Source organism: Homo sapiens, chromosome 9, assembly GCF_000001405.40.
Source record: "Homo sapiens chromosome 9, GRCh38.p14 Primary Assembly".
NCBI lineage: Eukaryota > Metazoa > Chordata > Mammalia > Primates > Hominidae > Homo > Homo sapiens.
Window position 1 is genome coordinate 6,412,372 of NC_000009.12, and position 23,349 is coordinate 6,435,720.

The window sequence follows — 23,349 nt, forward strand, 5'->3', positions numbered from 1 at the left end:
CATTATTTAAAACTGTTTCCCGCAAACCCGCAATCCCTTAGGCCAAAGGCACCCCTAACGCGGAAAGTCTACGAACGGAAATGTCCGGAGTTAGAGAGCGGCCTTTCGGGCAGCTGCCCCGACTTCTCCAAGGCCGGAGGGCCGGCTGGGAGCGCTGCAAGCCAGAGAGGGCGATCCCAGCGGGACCCGCGGCCTGAGGATAGGCCTGGAGCTGCCGCCTCCGCCAGGCGACGGGAAACCCTCGGAAGTGGGTTTCCGCGCGAAAGTAGCATTGCGGCCAGGCGGGAAACGTGTTCGCGAAGCAGGAGGGCCCCCGGGGCCTTTCCCGGGCGACCCGACCCGCCAGGCCGCGTGGCGGGAGCTTTCCTGTTGAGCGCGGTGGAGCGCACACATTTCCTTCAGTTCTTTCTCGGAAGTTTAGGCCGCACCCACCCGCGCCCCCTTTCCAGGATTATACAAGTGCACGCCAGGGTTTCTTATTTTTGGTGTGTTTTTGAGACCAAAGAACCATATCCGCTAAGCCTGAGGAGGCACCCGCCCCCTCAGCTCTGAAACGAGGCCTCAAAACGGCAACCGATGTGGTAGCCGCGCAATCTTCCGAAACCCAAAGGCTAGAGGGCGTGCCCAGTGGCCAGGTGCAGGCGGTGGGGCAAGTAACGGCTTTTGGTAGCCCCGCCCCTCCGACCCGCCCTCTCCGCGCCTGCCCATTTTCGTTCCCTCGGGTCTGTAACCCTCTCCCGGGCCGCTTCCTCTTTAAGGCGGAGCCCGGCGTGGATCTCGCGAGATCCGGCTTGGCGCCGTGACCTCCATGTGGGAGCTCCAGCTCTATAAGTAAACACTCTGCGCGGCGCAGACATGGCCTCTTCCTATCTTTGAGGCGGTGTCTGCGGCAGCGCCTCAGAGTGGTTCCGGTCGTCTCTCCTCAAGTCGGCTAGTCGGGCGCGCGCGCTGAGAGTCGTCGCCGCCTGTCGGGCCCGGCGTCCGGTCGGTCCGGTGGGCGCGCTCGCCCGCCTGCCGCTGAGGGCCCGAGCCGCAGGGAAAGCGGCGCGGGCCGGGCGGGGCGCGGCGCCCAGAGCTCAGGGGGAGACAAAGGGGACCGGTTCCTCTCTAGGCGCCAAGATGTGGATACAGGTTCGCACCATTGATGGCTCCAAGACGTGCACCATTGAGGACGTGTCTCGCAAAGCCACGATTGAGGAGCTGCGCGAGCGGGTGTGGGCGCTGTTCGACGTGCGGCCCGAATGCCAGCGCCTCTTCTACCGGGGCAAGCAGGTGAGGCGCGCCCGCCGCGCCCCTAGCGAGGCTGGGGGCCGGAACAGCTGGGCTCCTCTGGACGCACCGGTCCGAGGGCTCTGTGCGCCGCGCGCGCAGGGCTCACCTGGCTCCGCTGCGGGTGGGCAGCCCCCGCGAGGCGCGGGGTGCGGGGCCCAGTCCCGCCGAATGGTGGGGAGTGGGTCCCTGCCAGCCCCAACTGGAGGTGCGCCGCGCGGGGTCAGAAGTGAGGGCGTCCGGAGCGCAAATATCTCGCCGTTTGTATTTGGTAGGACAGCGGCCGTAGGCACTGGGTGCCCAGGTCCCTCGCTTCCCGCGCTCGGCGGGGCCTGGGGCCCCCAGAGGGCGGGGAGGGCAGAGGGCTCTGGCGGCCATGCCACCGCGCGGGAGACCCGGAGAGCTGGCTAACCCGGCTGAGCGTTCGCCTGGCTTCCGCGGCTCTTCCGCGTCTTCGGCTCTCAAACAGGGGAAACTCGGGCATTGAGCTCTCAAGAATAAGAACCCTAACTCTGCTTCCTGACTGTGGTAGGATTCGCGCAAACTGAAGATTCGAAGGGTTTCCAGAACTTCTGGTCCCTCTCCCTCGCCGCCTTTCCTAGGTTTGGAATGTCTCGAGGGAGGTTAGAGACCTGGGCATGAAGAAACTGTCGGTTTAACCGGGGGCCGGGTTTACGAATGCCCTATATAAGCCAAGAGTTTTATTCCCGAAGTGAAAAGGAGTGTAAGACTGTTTGCTTTTCTTACTTCTCGCCTTCTAATACTCATGTCGTTCACGCTTTAAGCATAGCACTGCAGCATAGCCAGCGGTGCATACTTGAAGGCTGTCTGTGGGCATCTCTGGTATTTTTATGGTCTGGCCAGTCTAAGTTTTTTTCCTATTCCACAAGTCTCTTACAATCTATATCCCTAGCCACTCAGACCCATCGTATTTTTCTTTGTCTTCATGTTGTTGTTAATACACTAAAAAGTTGGCATCCTGAGTTGATAGACCACAGTTTGGCTCCAATCCTGTGGTTTTAAATAAGTGTAGCTCTTTGATTTGGTAGAAGTAGCCTACAGTTGCAAACTACTTAAAAGGAATATTTTCCTCCCCTTCACAGGCTTAGTCTTCGAAGACTGTCCAGAAATTTCATAGTAACAAATTACACTTTGGGAAGGAGAGAGCTTTTTTTTCCCCTTTCCTTCTCTCTTTAAAATAATGTTATAGCACCTTTGATTTGTGTTTGCAGCCAGTTTTGTACTGACTTCTTAGTGTTTGACTTGTAAAAACAGGTATTTAGTTGTAAGCTTTGCTTTTGAAATAATTGTACACTTGTTAAATACTACATAGATTTGCTTTGCTGTGCCTCAAGTGGCTGATACCGTTTCCTTTTGATCACAAGTGAAAAAGCATGTAATCGTTTGATGCATTTTATTTTCTAGCTGGGGACAAATAGTACATGAATTCCTAGGACACTGGTGATTTCAGCACCAGAGATAGAAATGAAGGATGTTCTTGGGCAACACTCCTAAAATCTTTATTATCAAATATGCTAAAATAATTATCACATATGGGATTGGGTTAAATTCAAGGCAACAAAGTAGACTTTCAGTAAACTAGGAAGCTCATTCCAGATTCCAGGGAAAACTGAGGATAACCGTTGTACTTCCTCTTCCAGGGTCCTAGTGGGTAATTCACTACTTGGGTTTCTTCAGCCCAGTGATAAACCAGTAGGGTAGAGGAATAGACCTTTGGTGCCAGCCATTAACTTGGAAACAGAAAAGGAAGGTCATTGGTACCAGCTGTGTGTTCACTTTCTTATGCGCTGACAAGTAGCTATGGCAATGAGTGTTATCTTTCGTGGTCTCTGGAGCTCCACAGATGAGGTAGCCAGCCTGTAGCAGGTAACTACTGGAATGGCATCACAGAGAGTCCCCGTCCTGTAAAATACCATGTCCTCATTGGAAAAAGGTACCCCTACTTCAAAATACTTTACTGCCACGTAGTGAAAAATGTCATAAATTGTAGACAATACATTTATTTTTATTTAAGTGGTACCCGCCCCCCATACTCCATTCGTATGTTAGGCTCCAGCTTTTAATCTTTGGTATGTATCAGAATCGCTTGTGGATATTTATTATAGATGTTCAGCTCACCCCAGAACTGCAAGTAGTTGAATTTAACAAGACCCCACGGGAGATTCTGATAACACCAGAGTTTAGAAAATGAATGTTGATAGATAGTCTCCCACTAGTCTCTTACTATTCAAAGTATGGTCCCTGGATTCTCAGGACCAGCAGCATTAGCTTTACCTGAAATCCTCACGCCAGACCTACTGAAGCTGACCTACTGAAGCAGAATCTGTATTTTAACAAGATCTCCAGGTGATCTGTATGTAGGTGAAGTTGGAGAAGGCAGTGTTAATTGACTCCACTTTTTTTGTTGTTGTTTTTGTTTTTTTTTTAAGCCGGAGTCTTGCCCTGTCGCCAGGCTGGAGTGGCGCGATCTCGGCTTACTACAACCTCTGCCTCCCGGGTTCAAGCGATTCCCCTGCCGCAGTCTCCCAAGTAGCTGGGACTACAGGCGTGCGCCACCACTCCCGGCAAATTTTTTGTATTTTAGTAGAGACGAGGTTTCACCATTTTGGACACGATGGTCTCTATCTAGGACAGGACCTCAGGTGATGCGCCCACCTCGGCTTCCCAAAGTGCTGGGATTACAGGCGTAAGCTACCGTGCCCAGCCTTGACTCCACATTTGAGGGTCAAAATGGAGACCTGCAATTCAGGGCTATAAGTTTTGGTTAGAGTAGGATAACATGCTGTGAACATTCTTATCTGGGAAGTTGAGTTTGAGGCACGCGGGGGATTGGGTCTTTTTAAGGAAGAGATTATGTTGGTGGATCTCTAAATCTTTTTTTTTTTTTTTTTTTTTTTTTGAGACGGAGTCTCGTTCTGTCGCCCAGGCGGGAGTGCTGTGGCGCGATCTCCGCTCACTGCAAGCTCCGCCTTCCGGGTTCACGCCATTCTGCCTCAGCCTCCCGAGTAGCTGGGACTACAGGCGCCCGCCACTGCGCCCGGCTGATTTTTTGTATTTTTAGTAGAGACGGGGTTTCACCGTGGTCTCGATCTCCTGACCTCGTGATCCGCCCGCCTCGGCCTCCCAAAGTGCTGGGATTACAGGCGTGAGCCACCGCGCCCGGCCTAAATCTTTTGAGAATCCAGAGCTTTTCCTATTTTAAAGGATTCTCTCTCGTCATTCTTTCACTCCTTACCACTATAGAGGTGGTCTTAAAATAGATAACAATGTGGGGCATGAACTATAGTTGAAGAAAAAAGTTGCCTCTCCCACTTGGTTTTCACACAGAATATAAAAGTACTTGCCTATTTAAAGGAATATCTATGTATATATTATATATGATGTATATAACATATATAATACACACATATATAATATGTGATGGATACGTGAAAGTTGTTTTGCCCTTCACTGGCATCCCTAGTCAGTAGTTGCTTGGGAATGACTTCCCACTGCCCTCTCAGCCACTTCCACTTGGCATTTGCTTTCTAGTATTCCCTTGCATCATTGTTGCAGTTCCTCTTGTTACCTGGAGTTTCTTCTTTCAACTCAGTAAAATTTCAAGAGTGGTCTGACAAAAAATCCTAACCATTTTTGCTTCTTAAGTATTGTAAATACTGCATCTCCATCTTCGAGTATGGCAGTTCTCAAACATTTGCTTTTGAGACATTGATGGACCTAAGTTACATGCTTCTGACTCACAGATGTTTGTGATTTCTAAATGACCGCTTCCTTTTTTCCCTACTTAGAGCTTAATTTGAGTGTCAGAGATAACTTTCAATCTTCACTTTCATTAAATGTGGAAGAACTTCGGTACTTTTCAAGTAAATCATCTCAACACTTCACAGCTCTTCATAATATGTGAAGCTTTGTGGAATAAAGTTGTGTGGAACTTGTTATTGCGGTAGATAAATGGTCACTATTGTAGGAAGACTGGAGGAGTACCTATGAATTAGCGAAGGAGTGGATAATCTGGGTTTAAAAAGCCTGTCATAGCAAGCATGAGGAAAGGTGGTTATATGTTACTGTGGATGTAACTTATAGGGTCTCATGCCGTGATATGCTTAGACATGGTGCTCTTACGACATTTTTTCCTGTCAAATCAAATTTTAAAAAGCACCAGTTGAAACAGTTTGTATTTACTCCTGACCGTCATTTAGTAGAAACTAACCAGGAGCTGACTGTAGAAATACCCTCAACGTCACTCTGACTCTGGTCCCTCAAACCTAAGTGGAAAAATGTTCTTTCAATTTCCAGCAGTTTTATCACTTTAACTGCTATCTTCATTTTTGGAAATATGCTACTAGTTAATTTGCATGTTTTATACTGTTAGTTTTTTTTAATTATCTTTAAGCACTTTCATTTAAAAATAGTCATAATGTTTGTCAGTTGTATGTTACGCTTTTTCAGCTCCTCCAGAATTAGTAAGGTATTTTGTTTTGGGTTTTTTTGTGGGGGTGTTGGAGAATGTCAAAATGATGGTGTGAATGCAGTGTTTGCTCCTTGAGTTTTTTGGGGTTTTTTTCCCTCCACGGGAGTTCAAGACTAGAGGATGTTCCTTTTTTTTTTTTTTTTTTTAAATCAAGGAAGCAATATTCCCATCCCTATCCTTATCAGGGCTTACTTGCTTACTGACTTGGAATACTACTTTGGCTTATTTAGAGTAAGCATGGTAACTTGTGAGGTAGTACATAATTTAATTCCCTGACTGGGAAACTTGTGAAATTCTTGATCCCTTGTTCTACTTGACAAATGTGAATACCTGTAGTGTTTGAGATTGTGCTTGTTGGGTTCTTGGACCACCTGAGTTCAAATTACTGATCTAGTAGATTAAAAGTTTTAAATTCAGGACATACTTTTATTTCCATTTGGTTGACTTCTCAAATATGATGTTACTGTGTTAGAGTTGTGAATGTTGAAAAGTAATACATATGAAGAGTAGAAAATGAGCAATTTAAAAATTGATTATGTTTCTGGGAAAGTGATAGTTGTGGCCTGAAAGGAGTTTAGTTTTCTTGTTTCACTGTATCATAGTGAAATTGCCAACTGAACTTTATAAAGAAACAAAATGGAGACTTAATTTCCTAGGGCTGTTGTACTAATGTACCAAAACCTGGGTGGCTTAAAACAATAGAAATTTACTGTCTCACAGTTCTAGAGGTCTAGCAAGGTGTCAGCAGGGCCGTCCTCTGATAGCTCTAGGGGGAGAACCCTTTACACTTTGCCGGAAATTTTCTTTCTTGGCTTATATTAGGTACATCACTCCAGTCACATGGCTGCCTTTTTCCTGTGTCTTCACATTGTCTTCCGGCTGCATCTTTCCAAATGTCCCCTTATTATGAGGACACTAGCCATATTGGATTAGGGCCCTAATGACTTTGTTTTAACTTAATTACCTCTCTAAAGACCCTATCTCAAAATGAAGTCACATTCTGAGGTACTGGGGGTTAGGACTTTAACAAAAAAATTTTGGCAGGGACGCAACTTAGCTCGTAACAGTAGGTTTTACATTTCTTTTGTTAAATTTATTTTCTGATTACCTCTTTAAAAGACTGTTTCCAAATAAGGTCACATTCTCAAGTACCATGGATTAGGATTTCAACCCATAACCCTTACCAAAATATGGGTGGGTTGCAAATAATTTATTCACTATTCTTCCTGGAAGACTTCTTGATAAAACTTGATAATTGCAGATCGATAGAATTAGAGAACTTCAGGCAAGTGGAGTAACATGAGCAAGAATTAGAATTATCCCTTCTTGTTTTTTTTTCTGCTTGACTTAAAAAATAAAAACCTACTGATAATGCTTTAGAAAGATAACATATTTGACTTAATGTGTTTTTTAAAAAAGTGAAACACTGAGCTGATGACTTAATGTCTTTATGAAAAATAAGGTCATAAAACAACTTTGAAAATTCACATTTCTTGAAGTTGATTCAAGCACTGATTAAACATAAAACTTGAGAAATTAAATCTAGTTTAGAGTTTTTCTGTGTAGGTCATAAGGTCACAGCCACAATGAAACATTTTGGGATTTATTTATTTATTTGTTTATTTTGAGACAGGGTCTCACTCTGTTGCCCAGACTTGAGTGCAATAGCATGATCATGGCTTACTGTAGCCATGACCTCCTGGGCTAAAGTGATCTCCCACCTCAGCCTCCTGAGTAGCTGGGACCACAGGCATGTACAATCACACCCGGCTACGTTTTTTTATTTATTTATTTATTTTTATTTTTTGTAGAGATGGGGTTACCCATACTGGTCTGGAGCTCCTGGGCTCAAGTGATCCTCCCACCTTGACTTCCCAAAATGTTGGGATTACAGATGTGAGGCCCGGAGCCCAGCCTCCCCCGCCACCTTTTTTTTTTTCTTTTTTGACAGTCTCCCTCTGTTGCCCAGGTTGGAGTGCAGTGGCGCAATTTCAGCTCACTGCAACCTCCACCTCTGGAGTTCAAGAGATTCTCTTGCCTCTGCCTCCTGAGTAGTGGGATTACAGGTGCGTACCACCACGCCCAGCTAATACTTTGTATTTCTAGTAGAGACGGGGTTTCACCATGTTGGTCAGCCTGGTCTCAAACTCCTGACCTCGTCATCTGCTCTTTTCGGCCTCCCAAAGTACTGAGATTACAGGCGTGAGCCACCGCGCCCGGCCCATTTTTTTTGTTTTAATGGCTAGCAGTGTTCTCTGTAGTGAATATGGAGTAATTATTAAGAATTTATGGCCGGGTGCGGTGCTCACGCTGTAATCCCAGCACTTTGGGAGGTCGAGGTGGGTGGATCACGAGGTCAGGAGATCAAGACCATCCTGGCAAACACGGTGAAACCCCGTCTCTACTAAAAATACAAAAAAAAATTAGCCGGGCATGATGACGGGCACCTGTAGTCCCAGCTACTTCAGGGAGGCTGAGGCAGGAGAATGGTGTGAACCCGGGAGGAGGCGCTTGCAGTGAGCCAAGATCGTGCCACTGCCCTCCAGCCTGGGCGACAGAGTGAGACACCGTCTCAAAAAAAAAAAAAAAGAGAGAGAGAGAATGTATTGGGGTCCAGAGAAGACACTGACATCAGAGGCCATTAAGTATTAAGAATGGTTTTAAAATCTCTAAACTGTAGTGCTATGGATTTTAAGTTTGGCTAGGACATTTGAGCAACTAAAAATGTAGTAAGATACATTTTAGAGAAGCATTTCACTATTCTTTCTTTATTTTCTAGTTGGAAAATGGATATACCTTATTTGATTATGATGTTGGACTGAATGATATAATTCAGCTGCTAGTTCGCCCAGACCCTGATCATCTTCCTGGCACATCTACACAGATTGAGGCTAAACCCTGTTCTAATAGTCCACCTAAAGTAAAGAAAGCTCCGAGGGTAGGACCTTCCAATCAGCCATCTACATCAGCTCGTGCCCGTCTTATTGATCCTGGCTTTGGAATATATAAGGTATGTTGTTTTCTTCAGACTTACTGTTGTGAGAATACAAATAAATTTATTTTCTGTTCAGGATGTTTTGAATAAGTAAACATTGATTGCCATTTGAAAGTAAAGATTGGGATGTTAATATCATAACTTTTAAAAGTAGTCTTTTAAAAATTGATATGAAATACGTAGACAAATGTACAAGATGTATATGTACAGTTTAAAGAGCAATAAAGGAAATACTTGTGTAATTGCACCAAGGTTAAGAAGTAGATTGATTTAAAATACTTTTTGTTTGTTTGTTTGTTTTTGATAACGGAGGCTTGCTCTGTCACCCAGGCTGGAGTGCAGTGGCGCACGCAATCTTGGCTCGCTATGACCTCTGCCTCCCAGGTTCAAGCAAATCTCCTGCCTTAGTCTCCTGATTAGCTGGGATTACAGACGTGCACCACCACGCCCGGCTAATTTTTGTATTTTTAGTAGAAACAGGGTTTCACCATGTAGGCCAGGCTAGTCTCGAACTCCTGACCTCAGGTGGTCCGCCCACCTCAGCCTCCCAAAGTGCTGGAATTACCGGGGTGAGCCACCTCGCCCAGCCTTAAATACCTGTTTAAAGCCTCGTGTGTGTCCCTATCAGAACACTTCTCTCTGTGTCTCCCTAAGAGGTAAACTGCTTATTCTTTTATACTCTTTTTGTTTTTTATTTTTGCTACTTACGTATATTTCTCTAGGCAGTATGTTTTGTCTGTATTTGAATTTTATATAATGGAATTCTACTTTTTCTCAGCATTGAAAGATTCTCTGCATATAGCTGTGTTTTATTCCTTTTCACTATTATGTCATTCCATTTTATTAACATACCGCGGTATATTTAATCCATAATTCATAGATATCTGGGCTGTTTCCAGTTTCATCTGTTTTAAACAGTGCTGTTTTGAACCTTCTGTTAACCTGGTGCATATGTTCAAGAATTTCTACCTAGGAATAGAAGTGCTAGTTGTTCACCCACAGGGTACTGCCAAACTACTATACTTGGTTCCATTGGTCTGTTTGTCTATCTGTGTTCCTATTCTCTTGCCTCTGCCTCCTAAGTAGTGGGATTACAGGCGCGTACCACCATGCCTGGCTAATTTTTATATTTCCAGTAGAGACGGGATTTTACCATTTTGGTCAGGCTGGTCTCGAACTCCTGACCTCCTCATCTGCCCTCCTCGGTCTCCCAAAGTGCTGGGATTACAGTTCTGAGTACTGTAGCCTTATAGACTGTTTTGATCTCCCTTTCTCCTATCTCCCCAATTTCTTTCCTCTTTCAGGGTCTCTTGGCTTTTAATATTTGCATACAAAAAACTGTAGAAATAGCATATAAAGCTCTACAAATCTGATGGGATTCTATGGAGATTGCATCTATAGATCAGCTTGGAGAATCGACATCTTTACAATGTTGAGTCTTTTAATTCATGAACATTAAAAGACTTGACTTCTCCATTAACTTAGATCTTTTCTTTTTTTGAGACAGGGTCTGGCTCTGTCACCCAGGCTGTAGTGCAGTGACGTGAACACGGCTCGCTGTAGCCTTGACCTGCTGGGGTCAAGTGATCTTCCTGCTCGGCCTCCCAAAGTGCTGGGATACAGGCGTGAGCCACCATGCCCGGCTAACTTAGATCTTTGATATCTTGATTAGTTCTTTCTTTACATATTTAATATTTTGCTTTATTTCTGGTAGCTTTGTTTTTGATGCAATTATTATATATGGTTATCTTCTAAAATAGTAATCTGTTTGCTGATATAGAGAAATGAAATTGATTTATTTGGCTTTTGTAACCAGCAACCTTTTCAAATCTAATAAATTGTGTAGAAATAATCGAATGGCAGTTTTGCTTTATCCTTTCCTATCTTTGTAACTTCCTAATTCTTATCAGTTGCGATAAATGGGCACCTATACTGTTTTTCAAAGCATTTAAGACCAAAAAATTGGTAGATGAAGTAAATTACTCAAGATTATTCAAATGGAGATAATTTTAGATATATGGAAAAATGCCAACAGATCTACATATGTATATAGAAAGATTAAGAAGAGATTAGAACCATGTTTCCAAAGAAAGTACCAGGCTTGGATGGCTGAATTGTTTTAAACCTATGAGGAGTAGATCATTATAATGTTACCTAAGTTGACCTACAACATAAAGAAGGAAAGCTTCCTATTGCTTTATAAATTGAGTTTAATACTGATACTAAAACATGACAAAAAGCACATCAGCTTCACTAACATTGACATAAAACCTAAGTTCTAGTCAGCAAATAGAATTATGGCTGTATTTGCTGATTTAACTTGCTTTTAAAAAATTATGGCTGCTTATTAAAAATATATTACTTTAAGCAAATATGGTTTGTCAGGATGTGGGGACAGTTCATTATTATAAAATGTTTCAATATAATTCATTGTACTAATAAGCCAAAGAAAACATATTAATTTAAAATGTTTTCTGCATTTAAATACAAATTTGAGTCATTAGTGATTTTTTTTTTTTTTTTAAAGAAAAGTCTCGGCCGGGCGTGGTGGCTCACACCTGTAATCCCAACACTTTGGGAGGCCGAGGCGGGTGGATCATGAGGTCAGGAGTTCAAGACCAGCCTGGCCAAGATGGTGAAACCCCGTCTCCACTAAAAATACAAAAAATTAGCTGGATGCGATGGCAGGTGCCTGTAATCCCAGCTACTCCGGAGGCTGAGGCAGGAGAATTGCTTGAACTTGGAGGGCAGAGGTTGCAGTGAGCCAAGATTGCGCCACTGCACTCCAGCCTGGGCGACACAGTGAGACTCAGTATCAAAAAAAATAAATAAATAAATAAAGGAACTCTTGATAAGAGGAATAGACAGAATAGGTTAATATTTTAAACACATTCTATACCGGTATTCCCTTTAAAGACGAGCTAGACAAGGAAGCCAATTCATGCTTCCTTATTTGACATCTTTCTGGAAGTACTAGATAATGCAATTAGGCAGGAGAACAAAATAAAGTGTAAATATTAGAGAAGGCAAAGTTGCAGCCTATGGATACCTGGGAGAGCTGAGAAAATGTTTTAGAAAGTTATGAGCAGTCACTAAAGTGGCTATCTTCAAAGTTAACATTGAGCTGCTGATAGCTCAAGGAATTAATGCGTGAATTAGAACAGGAAAAAAATTTGCAATAACAAAAGGTAGAATCTGGGAATAAGTTAAGACTTATGTAAATTAAAACAGTGCTATATAGTGGTCACAATTAAGAGAGAATTTTTAGCACTGAAAGCCAACTTGCCATTTTTTTCTATATTACTCTGATTTCATCCACCTTTTAAATACCAATACTTAATACATTTTTTACATTATTACTTTTTTATTTGTGTTACCACCTCCATCATTACTTTTAAAATAAACTTATTTTAGAACAGTTTTAGATTTGTAGCAAAATTGAAGATAGTAGAGAGAGTTCCCATATATCCCACACCTAGTTTTCCCTCTTAAGATCTTAAGTTAGTGTGGTGTATTTGTTGAAATTAATGACCCATATTTTCTTAGCTTTTACCTCATGTCCTCTTTTTGTTCCAGAATCCCACTAGGATACTATACTGTGTGTAGTTTTTAAATCTCCTTTGACATTGACTGTGACAATTTCTCAGGATTTTTTTTTTTTTTTTTCAATTACCGTGACCATTTTGAGGAGCTCTGGTCAGGTATTTTGTAAAATCTCCCCCTGTTAGGATTCATTTGTTTTCCTTATTTGTCTGGGTTTGTTTTGGGGAGGAAGACCGCAGAGGTATTTTCATCACGTATATAGGGCACATACTATCAGTATTCTATTTGCTAAGTATAACTTAGGTTTTACATCAATGATAACATTAACACTGATGTGAACCTTAATCATCTGGCTGGGGTAGTGTTTGTCAAGTTTCTCCACTATTAAACTACTCCCACACCTCCTTCCTGTCTTTCCATACTGTACTGTTGGAGAGAAAGTCACTGTACAGTCCACACTTAAGGAGTGGGAAGTTAATGTACTTCACTGCCTTGAGGGCAGAGTATCTACAAAAAATTATTTAAAATTACTCAACATGGGAGGTGTATTTATTCAGACATTTACATCAGTATGAACTCATGATCAAATTGTTCCACTTTTGGCCTTTAGAAACTCGTTTATTTGATGGCTATGTCCCTTTGACATACCCCCATTATTGTGGGTGTTTTGTTTTTCTTAAGCATTATCTTACTTTCTGGCACTACAACATGCTTCAGGTACATCTTGTATATTTCCTGCTTCAGTCCTAGAATCAACCATTTCTCCAAGGTTCCCTGTTTCCTTTAATTGTCAAAGGATAGAGGCCGGGCGCAGTGGCTCATGCCTGTAATCCCAGCACTTTGGGAGGCTGAGGAGGGTGGATCACTACAGGTCAGGAGTTTGAGATCAGCCTGGTGAACATGGTGAAACCCCATCTCTGCCGAAAATTAAAAAAAAAAAAAATTAGCTGGGCGTTGTGGCACATGCCTGTAATCCCAGCTACTCGGGAGGCTGAGGCAGGAGTATCACTTGAACCCAGGAAGCAGAGGTTACGGGGAGCCGAGATCGCGCCACTGCACTCCAAGCCTGGGTGAGTGAGACTTCGTCTCAAAGTAAATAAATTAAAAAAAAAAAAATCAAGATCTCGGCTCTAGGTATGCTTCTTACTGTTGGTGTGTCATTGCTTTTAGAGCCTTCAACAGACAGCAAGGAAATAATACATATTTGTACTAACCTGTGTATATATACATCTATGAATATTTATGTAACTATCTGTATATTAAGTTTACATTATTACTTTTCATCTTTGGCCAGAGTTTAGAAGCTGCTGCTTTTGAATTGATTGTTTGGGCATTGACAGGATGGATTTGCTTTCAAAGGAGGGCCAGTTTATGTATCTGCACATCTGAGATTAATCAAAGTTCAGCAGTTTGGGTCAACTTAAATTTCTGTTTAGCAAACTTCTCAATACTCCACTATTCCTTCCTCTTCCCTCCCCAATCGAATTCGGAAGAGCATCAGGAGAAATTACTTCTCTCAGGAGGTCTTTGCTTTTTATTTTCAGTGTTAGTGCTTTGGCTGTGAACTACAGAATTTAAACTCTATTTGACATCTCTTCTATTTCCTATTACTATGTGGTATAGATGTTAAAGACTTGAGCTTTGCCAGGAGACCTGGTTTCAAATTTCAGTTCAGCTGCTGCTTGGTTATACAAATTGGCAAGTAAATCTTACATTAAGGTTCCCTTTCCCCATTTAGGAGCACATTGGAATCTAGTAATAAAATTCTCAGAAGGTTGCTGTTCATACAATAATAAATTTAGAGCTGTTTAATCTTAGTTGAAGCTACTGTAGATTTATTTACTTTTTGGGGGATGAACCTTAGTAATTGTCATAGGTATTTGAAATTTTGACTGGTGCCTTTATATTTTTCAGATAGAAGTACATATTTCTGGATAGCTCATTCCATAAATAGGTGGATATCTAGCATATGTTTGTAATCGGTATTCTGCCTTCACAGAATTTTTATCACATACTGACTTGTTGACTAAACTGAAAACCATTTAGAAGCTGCTACTTTTGAAATGATTTGCTTTATTTTTATTTTATTTTATTTTTGAGATGGAATCTCTCTTTGTTGCCCAGGCTGGAGTGCAGTGAGCCATCTCAGCTCACTGCAACCTCTGCCTCCTGGGTTCAAGCGATTCTACTGCTTCAGTCTCTTGAGTAGTTGGGATTACAGGCACCCGCCACCATGCCCAGCTAATTTTTGTACTTTCAGTAGAGACAAGATTTCACCATGTTGGCTAGGCTGGTCTTGAACTCCTGACCTCAGGTGATCACCTGCCTCGGCCTCCCAAAGTGCTGGGATTATAGGCATGAGCCACTGTGCCTGGCTTGAATTAGTTTGTTTTATATTTGCATTGGGTTTTTTGTATTTCCCATAGTGCAAGTCTGAGTAGTTAATATATAAAAACTTTTAAGTTGATTATAAGTCACTTAAAAATTGGGCGTTGTATTGCTTTTGTCTTGAATTCTTGGTTATGCCACTTGGTAAATATTTTTTTTTATACATGTAGAGCTTTCTATAGTTGAAATTGCTTTATGGATGAGCAAACATTTTTGGACTTTTCCTTCTGACTGAAATATTCTTTGAACATCATGATAAGCAGGTACAAAAGATGAATTTTCAAATTAACTTTATTCAAAACTGGCATAGGTAAACATTTAAACAGTATGTTAAGATGAAATTTTAGGCCAGGCACAGTGGCTCACACCTGTAATCCCAGCACTTTGGGAGGTCGAGGCAGGCAGAGCACCTGAGGTCAGGCTTTTGCAACCATCCTGGCCAACATGGTGAAACTCCGTCTCTACTGAAAATAAAAAAATTAGCTGGCTGTGGTGGCGTACGACTAATCCCAGCTACTTGGGAGGCTGAGACGGGAGAATCACTTGAACCCAGGAGGTGGAGGTTTCAGTGAGCTTAGACCGCGCCACTGCACTCCTGCCTGGGTGACAGAGCAAGACCCCATCTCAAAAAAAAGAAATTTTAATCTGAAGTTATTTATTGCTCAATATCATTATTTTGCTCTGTTTGATAACTGAGCAATATTTAACCAGTTTCAGATATTTTCATATGTTATTGCAAGAAACTAGATACCACTACTACATATGGAGAGCCTATGAAAGATTGTACAGAGGCTGGGTCCATCCATTCACATTATATGTGCATTTAACATAAATTGAATCACACTGGGTCTAGATTGGGAACTAATTTTCTGAAGCAAGATGGACATTCGAACCTAAGTTCGTTTTAATTTTGGTTTTTGTGTATGGAAGCTTTTTATGATGCCAGAAAGATCGTACTTTCAAGTGGCTGTCATCCTGGACTAAATAATGACTGTTTAGAATGATGATGGTAAGCCTTTACAGTTTAGCTGAGCATGTGGCACTGTTAAACTTCTTACATGTTTTCTTATGCTCATTGTATAATAGAAAGTACTGGAAAGAGGAGAATTATCATTGATAACTTCTTATTTCTTTTGTCCACAGTACAGTTCTTGATGTTTAACCTTTTTGATTATGAAATGTATTAGACAATACAAAGAGCACGATCACTGTCTATAAACACCATCCAAGTTATGAAATAGAATAACAATACTCCCAGGAACTTACCAGGTGCCTCCTCCTGATTATAACTCCCTCTTCCCTAGTTGTAACTGCTACCCAGACTTCTATGGTAATCATTTCTTTGTTCTTTACTAACTTTCTTATTAATATTAACCTTTAACAACCTATTAATAATCTTTAACTTATTTATGCAACCCTAATCCCTAATTTTCTGGTTTCTGAACTTTATGTAAATGGAACCATATTGCTTTTGCTTTTTTTTTTTTTTTTTTTTTTTTTTTTTTTTTTTTTTGAACGATCTCATTCTGTCACTTGGCTGGAGTGCAGTGGCATGATCATAGCTTACTGCAGCCCCAACCTTCTGGGCTTAAGCGATCCTGCTGCCTCAGCTTCCTGAGTAACCGGGACTACAGGTCTGTGCCACCATACCCAGCTAATTTTCAATTTTTCGTAGAGACAGAGTTTCACTATGTTGTCCAGGCTGGTCTTGAACTCCTGGGTTCAAACAGTCCTCCTGCCACTTCCTCCCAAAGTGCTGGGATTACAGTGTGAGCCATCACACCCAGCCCTGCATTTTAAAATTTGTGATTAAAGAAAGATGGGGCCGAGTGTGGTGGCTCATGCCTGTAATCCCAGCACTTTGGGAGGTGGAGGACAAGTGGATCACTTGAGGTCAGGAATTCGAGACCAGCCTGGCCAACATGGTGAAACCCCATCTCTGCTAAAAATATAAAAGGTTAGACACTATGGTGGTGGATACCTGTAATCCCAGCTACTCAGGAGGCTGAAGCAGGAGAATTGCTTGTACCTGGGAGGCAGAGGTCGCAGTGAGCCAACATCGCACCACTGCACTCCAGCCTGGGCAACAGAGCAAGACTCTGTCTCAGGAAAAAAAAAAAAAGGAAGATGGTACAATGAGAGAACAATTTTCAGAGTTGGAGAACCTGTATTCTCAGCTTAACTCCCACATTTTTTACCTGTGTATCTCTTGAGCAAATGTATTTCATGTCTGGACCTCATTAGAAAATGGGAATTATTTTGTATTATAATTAAAGGAGGTAAAGTATGTAATGGTAAACAGCTAATGTTTACCAGCAGTATGGTAATAAGACTGTACTCTGAGGTTTTGTGGTTTTTTTGTTTCTGTTTCTTTTAGACAGAGTCTTGCACTGTCATGCAGGCTGGAGTATAGTGGCGGGATCCACGCCTGGCTAGTTTTTGTGTTTTTTAGTAGAGATGGGGGTTTTAGCCATGTTGGCCAGACTGGTCTCGAACTCCTGACCTCAGGTGCTCCACCTGCCTCGGCCTCCCGAAGTGCTGGAATTACAGGCATGAGCCACTGCACCCGGGCTATACTCTGAGTTTTAATGAGTCTTAACATTGAACGTATATACTTAGTAAGGAGACAGTTGTTTCATTTGTGTGTACTATATGCTTGCTGGGTTGGCACGTTACATGAATTTTCTCACTTTATTTCAAATACACTGCAAGATGCTGGGACAAATTAAGTAACTTGTTCATGGTTACACTTAGTGGGTGATAGATGAAGAACTTGAACCTAGGTTTACCTGCAGAGCTGGAGTGTTTTCTGCAAAACAAATGGTACCTAGCATATAGTAAAACCATCAAATATTTGCTGTTGGTATTTTCTTTTTTTAATGATTGCCCCTTGCCTCCCATACTTCAGGTTTTAAAAATATTAGATATTTGGACAGGGGAAACTTTTTGTCTAAATGTGGCTTTTCTTTTTTTGAAATGGAGTTTTACTCTTTTTGCCCTGAAGTGCAATGGCACAATATTGGCCCATTACAACCTCCACCTCCTGGGTTCAAGTGATTGTCCTGCCTCAGCCTCCCAAGTAGCTGGGATTACAGGTGCATGCCACCATGCCCGGCTAATTTTGTACTTTTAGTAGAGACAGGGTTTCGCCATGTTTGCCGGGCTGGTCTTGAACTCCTGACCTCAGGTGATCCATCCACCCTGGCCCCCTAAACTGCTGGGATTACAGGCGTGAGCCCCTGTGCCTGGCCCTTAATGTGGCTATATCTTTGATGTGAATGAATGCAGCTCTTAAGTGTAGAATTATGTGGTTGGCTTAAACTTTTTTTTAGCTTTTTAGTTCAACTCCTCTCCTCCCCATATTAATCTTTTAAAAATAATTGTATATTTTATGATGTTTTGACATCTTTGGGGGCCTTACTGGCTGAGGAGAGACTGCCCTTTTTCCTAGAGCTAGCTTATTCCTAGAGATAGTAAACAGCTGATCAGTGAGCCTGCCTTTTATATACAAAAACATGTAATCCCGAGTCCATGCACTTAACTACCTCCCTTATCTAACTCTTAAACACCAAGCCAATATTCCGCCCTGATCACCCACAGCCAGGTACCAAACAACTAGAGGCCACCCCTACAATCCAAAGCCCACTGACATTATTCAAACTAGCCATCTTGTTTCCCCTGCCTTGCCTTTCCCATGGAAAACACAATAAAGGCTCTGGGCCCTAATTTTCCCCTGTTCCCTCTGCCTCCTGACCAAACCTAGTGCTTTCCTGTATTTCCCCTTCTCTTGGGGAATGAGTAATTCTTCTTTCAGTGGCATTGGCTTCTCCATGTTGTCACTTAGTTACATCAATAAATTAAAATCTCATGAGTATAATTCAGATGCTCCCACATAGGCAAATTCTGTTTTCCTCTTTTGTCTGCTATTTTGCTACTCCTTTAGCTAATTACTTCAGTTCTTAATTTGTACTAGATTACTTAGTTACCATGGCAGGATCTTCTGTGTTCATATTAATCATACAGGCCTAAGTATTTTTCCTCTGAACTGCCTTTAAAATCCAGGCTTTATAACACAGCTTTAACATCTTGCATGCATCTTGGCCTATTCAAATTTTGCTTGACTTAGTATGTCTATCCAATGTGCAGAAAGTTTTGAATTTAAGAGCATTTCTGTCCCCACCCAGTTTATGTGCATTTCTGTGAGTGCTTACTCACAGCAATACTTAGTAGGGTACTTACTATATTTAGTAGGATAATCCTTTTTTTTGGCCAGGCAGGGTGCCTTGTGCATGTAATCTCAGCACTATGAGAGACCAAGGAAAGAGGATTGTTTGAGGCCAGGAGTTCAAAACCAGCCTGGGCAACATAGCAAACTCTGTCTCTACAAGAAGTAACATTAGCTAGGTGTGGTGGCATATACCTGTAGTCCTAGCTGCTCAGGAGTTTGAGTTCAGGAGTAGGAGGCTGCGGAGAGCTGTGATCACACCACTGCATCCAGCCTGGGCAGCAGATAGCCTGTCTTAAAAAAAAAAATTCTTACGTCCAGTTGTAAATCTAGGTTTACTATATTCAAAGAATGCCCTACCTTTGTGAGCTGATATGTTCTATGTGTTGATGTTCAAGCAATGGCAGTATTTTGAGGTTGATTTAGGTGTCTGTTAACTTTAGTTTATTGTTAGATGTTAAGGTAGCCAGCTATTAGATCTGCCTGCTAGTATCTTACATTTGATAGGCAAATTCAGTACTTCATTTGTGCCGCCTCGTGTTCCTTAGTAAGGTTGATGATATAGCTTAATGTGTTTTTGCTGTTACCATTTTAGTATCAACTATATGCTGCATTCTCTGCTATGCAATATTTTTATAGTAATATATGAAACTTACATTTTGATTTGCTGCGACAGAGTAGTAACCTCAGTTTATTCTCCCAAGTATGATGGACCTTAACATTGATTATTTTCATTTTTACTGTGTTGTCTACAAGAGACTAAATGTCTTTAAATTTGTCAGTGATTAGTATGGGAGAAATGAGCCTATGTTTATTTAATACATGAATTAATTTATGTAATGTATAACATGCTCCATCTCTGATTGTTTGTCCTACCCAGCATGGTTGGCTCTTAGGTTTTTATTTTTTCCTAAACTGTTCATTCTTGTGTAATATTAAACTTTATGTCTTTCAAGCTATTTCATTGCTACCATGTTCATTACATACAGTGCCTTTGGTCAAATGTACCTCTTCTGGTAGTGACAGTTGATAGTTTTTGTTTAGTCTGTATTCTTTCTACCCTCTGTCATTTTGTGGTTTGAAACCTTTTTATATTTTCAGTAACTTATTTCTAAGTTCCTCACTTACCTTTGAAGTTCCTGTATACCTGTCTTGTCATTTATATCAAGGTTCATGGTATGATGGCAAGAACATAAGCTTCAAAGTCAAGATGTCTTCAAATCCTAACCTTACATTTCATTAGCTTTAACCTAGAGGAAGTTAATTTCTCAGAGCCTTTGTTTCCGTATTTTGTAAAATAGGAATTAAACTTCTTAGGGTTAGACATATCTAAGTAAAGAACCTTGCATAATATCTGGCATACTGATATTTAACTTACTTCTCCCACGAGGTATGCCATCTATTAGACACCTTAAGAGTGGTGTCTTCTCCCTTCAAGGAAAAGATAACTTGATGAAATAGTGATCTTGTGTTGATTTCATTTTTTCCTTTTTAAGGGCTTAAAAAGAAAGTTGAAGGAATTTCTCTTGGTTGTTGTCCTAAAAGGGCTCTGGCCATTTTTTTTTTTTTCTTTTTGAGACAGAGTCTTGCTGTATTGCCCAAACTGGAGTGCACTGGCACGATCTCCGTTCACTGCAACCTCCACCTCCCGGGTTCAAGTGATTCTCCTGCCTTAGCCTCCTGAATAGCTGGGATTACAAGCATGCTCCACCACGCCTGGCTAATTTTTGTATTTTTAGTAGAGACGGGGTTTCACTATGTTGGCCAGGCTGGTCTTGACCTCAAGTGATCTGCCCCTGCCTTGGCCTTCCAAAGAGCTGGGATTACAGTGTGAGCCACCATGCCTGGCCTGATCTTTTAAACAGCGTTTAAAAGGAGAGGATTTGTTTTTTAAACCTTTCATTTCATAACTCTTAATTCTCTGATACACCTGTTTTTTAATACTCCTTCCTTTTGTCAGATTGCATGGGTTAGTTGTGGATCAGCCACTGGAATTGACTACCTCCATTTTGTGTCTTACGCCCTGTTCATTTTTATATTTTATCTTTGTTCTTTGAGGTGGTAGATAAATGTATTTGCCTAGTGAGTTACTAACTAGTGATCGAACTTCACCATTTTGTATAGATGGGTTCATTAGACTCTTTTTTTTATTGTGCATAATTCTCTCATTTTCAAGTTTTGTTTTCTTTTTAATACTTTACTGTTTTCTGGTTGGACTGTGTAAGTTATCTTTAGGATTATGAAGAAATTAATGGAACAGATTAGTCATATTAGCTTAAAGTCCTGGCTTTTCATTAGTGTCATTCTTACTGGATGACTTGCAAGAATGACTCTTAGGTACAAAAGAATAATATTTTCAAAAGTCTAGTGTATACGTCAGTAAGGCGTAAAGAAAACACCTATTTCATTGAAGGAAATGAGGAAGAAAGTTAGTTTTCATCTTAGTCAATAGATTTAAGATAGCACAAATCAGAAAGAATAGTTTTGATCTAATCTTATTAACCACTTTAAACATGAGTAGCTGCAAATATTGTTTACCATGATAACCCACAAATAACTTGAGTTACATTAAGGTTTTTGAAGCAGTAGACAAAATTAAGCTTCATTAACTGATTTTAAACTTTTTTTAGGTAAATGAATTGGTGGATGCCAGAGATGTCGGCCTTGGTGCTTGGTTTGAAGCACACATACATAGTGTTACTAGAGCTTCTGATGGACAGTCACGTGGCAAAACTCCACTGAAGAATGGCAGTTCTTGTAAAAGGACTAATGGAAATATAAAGCATAAATCCAAAGAGAACACAAATAAATTGGACAGTGTACCCTCTACGTCTAATTCAGACTGTGTTGCTGCTGATGAAGACGTTATTTACCATATCCAGTATGATGAGTAAGTGCTCAAGCTATTGAGGACTTTATTCATATTTTCATTTGTAGAAACCAAAGCCTTCTATTTCAAGATTATTTTAAATAGTCTTTCTGAAGAAATCCTTTAGAGGTTATGTTCATTTGTTACTTTTTGGTTTTGGTGGTTGTACTCTAATTTAAAGGTCCTTTTAGCTCTCGATTATCTCTGGTTCTTAAGTGGTTTATTTTTTAGTATCACAATACTGGCTTAATTTAGGGTGTATGGGTTTCTGTTTGTCTTTTTCTCTATTAGGTGGGCTTTTTTTGAGATGGTCTCTCTCTGTCGCCCAAGTTGGAGTGCTGAATGGCACAATCTCGCCTCACTGCAACCTCAGCCTCCTGGGTTTAAGTGATTCTCCTGCCTCAGCCTCCCAAGTAGCTGGGATTACAGGTGCATATCACCACGCCTGATTAATTCTTGTATTTTTAGTAGAGATGGGGTTTCATCATGTTGGCCAGACTGGTCTCAAACACCTGACCTCAAGTGATCTGCCCCCCTTGGCCTCCCAAAGTGCTGGGATTACAGGGGTGAGCCACTGCGCCTGGCCTCTATTAGGTATTTTGATATGTATTTTAACAGTATTTTGGAAACTGTATTTTATAATATGTAGTGTAATAGCATTAGAGTGACATCTATATGTGTATGTTTTGGGGGGTGGGGACCGGGTCCCACTTTGTTGCACATACTGGAGTACAGCAATGTGATCCTGGCTCGCTGCAATCTCCGCCTCCTGGGCTCAAGCGATCTTCCCACCTTAGCCTCCCAAGTAGCTGAGAATATAGGCATATGTATTACCATGTTTGGCTAGTTTTTTTTTTTTTTAATTTTAGTTTTGAGACAGATTCTCACTCTGTCACTCAGGCTGGGAGTACAGTGATGCAACCTCCACCTCCCCAGGTTCAAGCTAGTCTCCTGCCTCAGCCTCCCGAGTAGCTAGCATTAGAGGCGCGCACCACCACGCCTGGCTAATTTTTGTATTTTTACTAGATATGGGGTTTCACCATGTTGGCCAGGCTGGTCGCAAACTCCTGATCTCAGGTGATCTGCCCGCCTCAGCCTTCCAAAGTGCTGGGATTACAGGCGTAAGCCACCACACCTGGCCGGCTAATTTTTTTGTAGAGATGTGGTCTCACTATATTGTCCAGGCTGGTGTTGAACTCCTGGGCTCAAGTGATCCTCCCACCTCAGCCTTCCTGAGTGCTGGGATTAAAGGCGTGAGCCACTGTGCCCAGTGCAAAATTTTTTTTAAACAGCTTTTTATTGAGATAGTTCACATACAGTTTACCTGTTTAAAGAGTATAATTCGTTGTTTTTGACGTACTACCACAAACTAATTTTAGAACAACCCCCCAAAAAGAAATCTCATACTGATTATCAGTCACTCCCCAGTCCCACTTCCCCAAGATAATAGGATTTATTTATTTATTTATTTAGAGACAGAGTCTTGCTCTGTCACCCAGGCTGGAGTTCAGTGGTGCGATCTTGGCTCACTGCAACCTCTGCCTTTCAGGTTGAAGCGATTCTGCTAC

General features: G+C 41.6%; 1 protein-coding gene across 11 annotated transcripts in view, besides 4 other annotated features; it reads left to right on the forward strand.

Annotated features, from left to right (window-relative positions):
- Positions 546-685: a silencer, noted in NCBI's record as "silent region_19764". NCBI's record gives its function as "represses an Ori minimal core promoter by ATAC-STARR-seq in GM12878 lymphoblastoid cells {active_cell/tissue: GM12878}" and the evidence as "EXISTENCE:reporter gene assay evidence [ECO:0000049][PMID:35858748]".
- UHRF2 (ubiquitin like with PHD and ring finger domains 2) overlaps positions 828-23,349 on the forward strand; it is a 93,856-nt gene continuing 71,334 nt past the window's right edge. For 9 of the 11 annotated variants that reach the window (NR_046386.2, XR_428418.5, XR_007061241.1 and 6 more), the window contains exons 1-3: positions 828-1,272; positions 8,541-8,771; positions 21,543-21,802. Coding sequence is in view for 3 of the 11 variants with exons in the window: in NM_152896.3 (NP_690856.1) it covers positions 1,120-1,272; positions 8,541-8,771; positions 21,543-21,802 (644 nt within the window). In the remaining 8 variants the exon portion in view is untranslated. Of the gene's footprint in view, positions 1,273-1,417; positions 1,541-8,540; positions 8,772-21,542; positions 21,803-23,349 lie in introns of those variants that run through there. The other 2 variants (XM_011517704.3, XM_011517705.3) reach the window with 2 other exon arrangements.
- Positions 966-1,145: a silencer, noted in NCBI's record as "silent region_19765". NCBI's record gives its function as "represses an Ori minimal core promoter by ATAC-STARR-seq in GM12878 lymphoblastoid cells {active_cell/tissue: GM12878}" and the evidence as "EXISTENCE:reporter gene assay evidence [ECO:0000049][PMID:35858748]".
- Positions 1,216-1,645: a silencer, noted in NCBI's record as "silent region_19766". NCBI's record gives its function as "represses an Ori minimal core promoter by ATAC-STARR-seq in GM12878 lymphoblastoid cells {active_cell/tissue: GM12878}" and the evidence as "EXISTENCE:reporter gene assay evidence [ECO:0000049][PMID:35858748]".
- Positions 16,835-16,954: an enhancer, noted in NCBI's record as "active region_28186". NCBI's record gives its function as "activates an Ori minimal core promoter by ATAC-STARR-seq in GM12878 lymphoblastoid cells {active_cell/tissue: GM12878}" and the evidence as "EXISTENCE:reporter gene assay evidence [ECO:0000049][PMID:35858748]".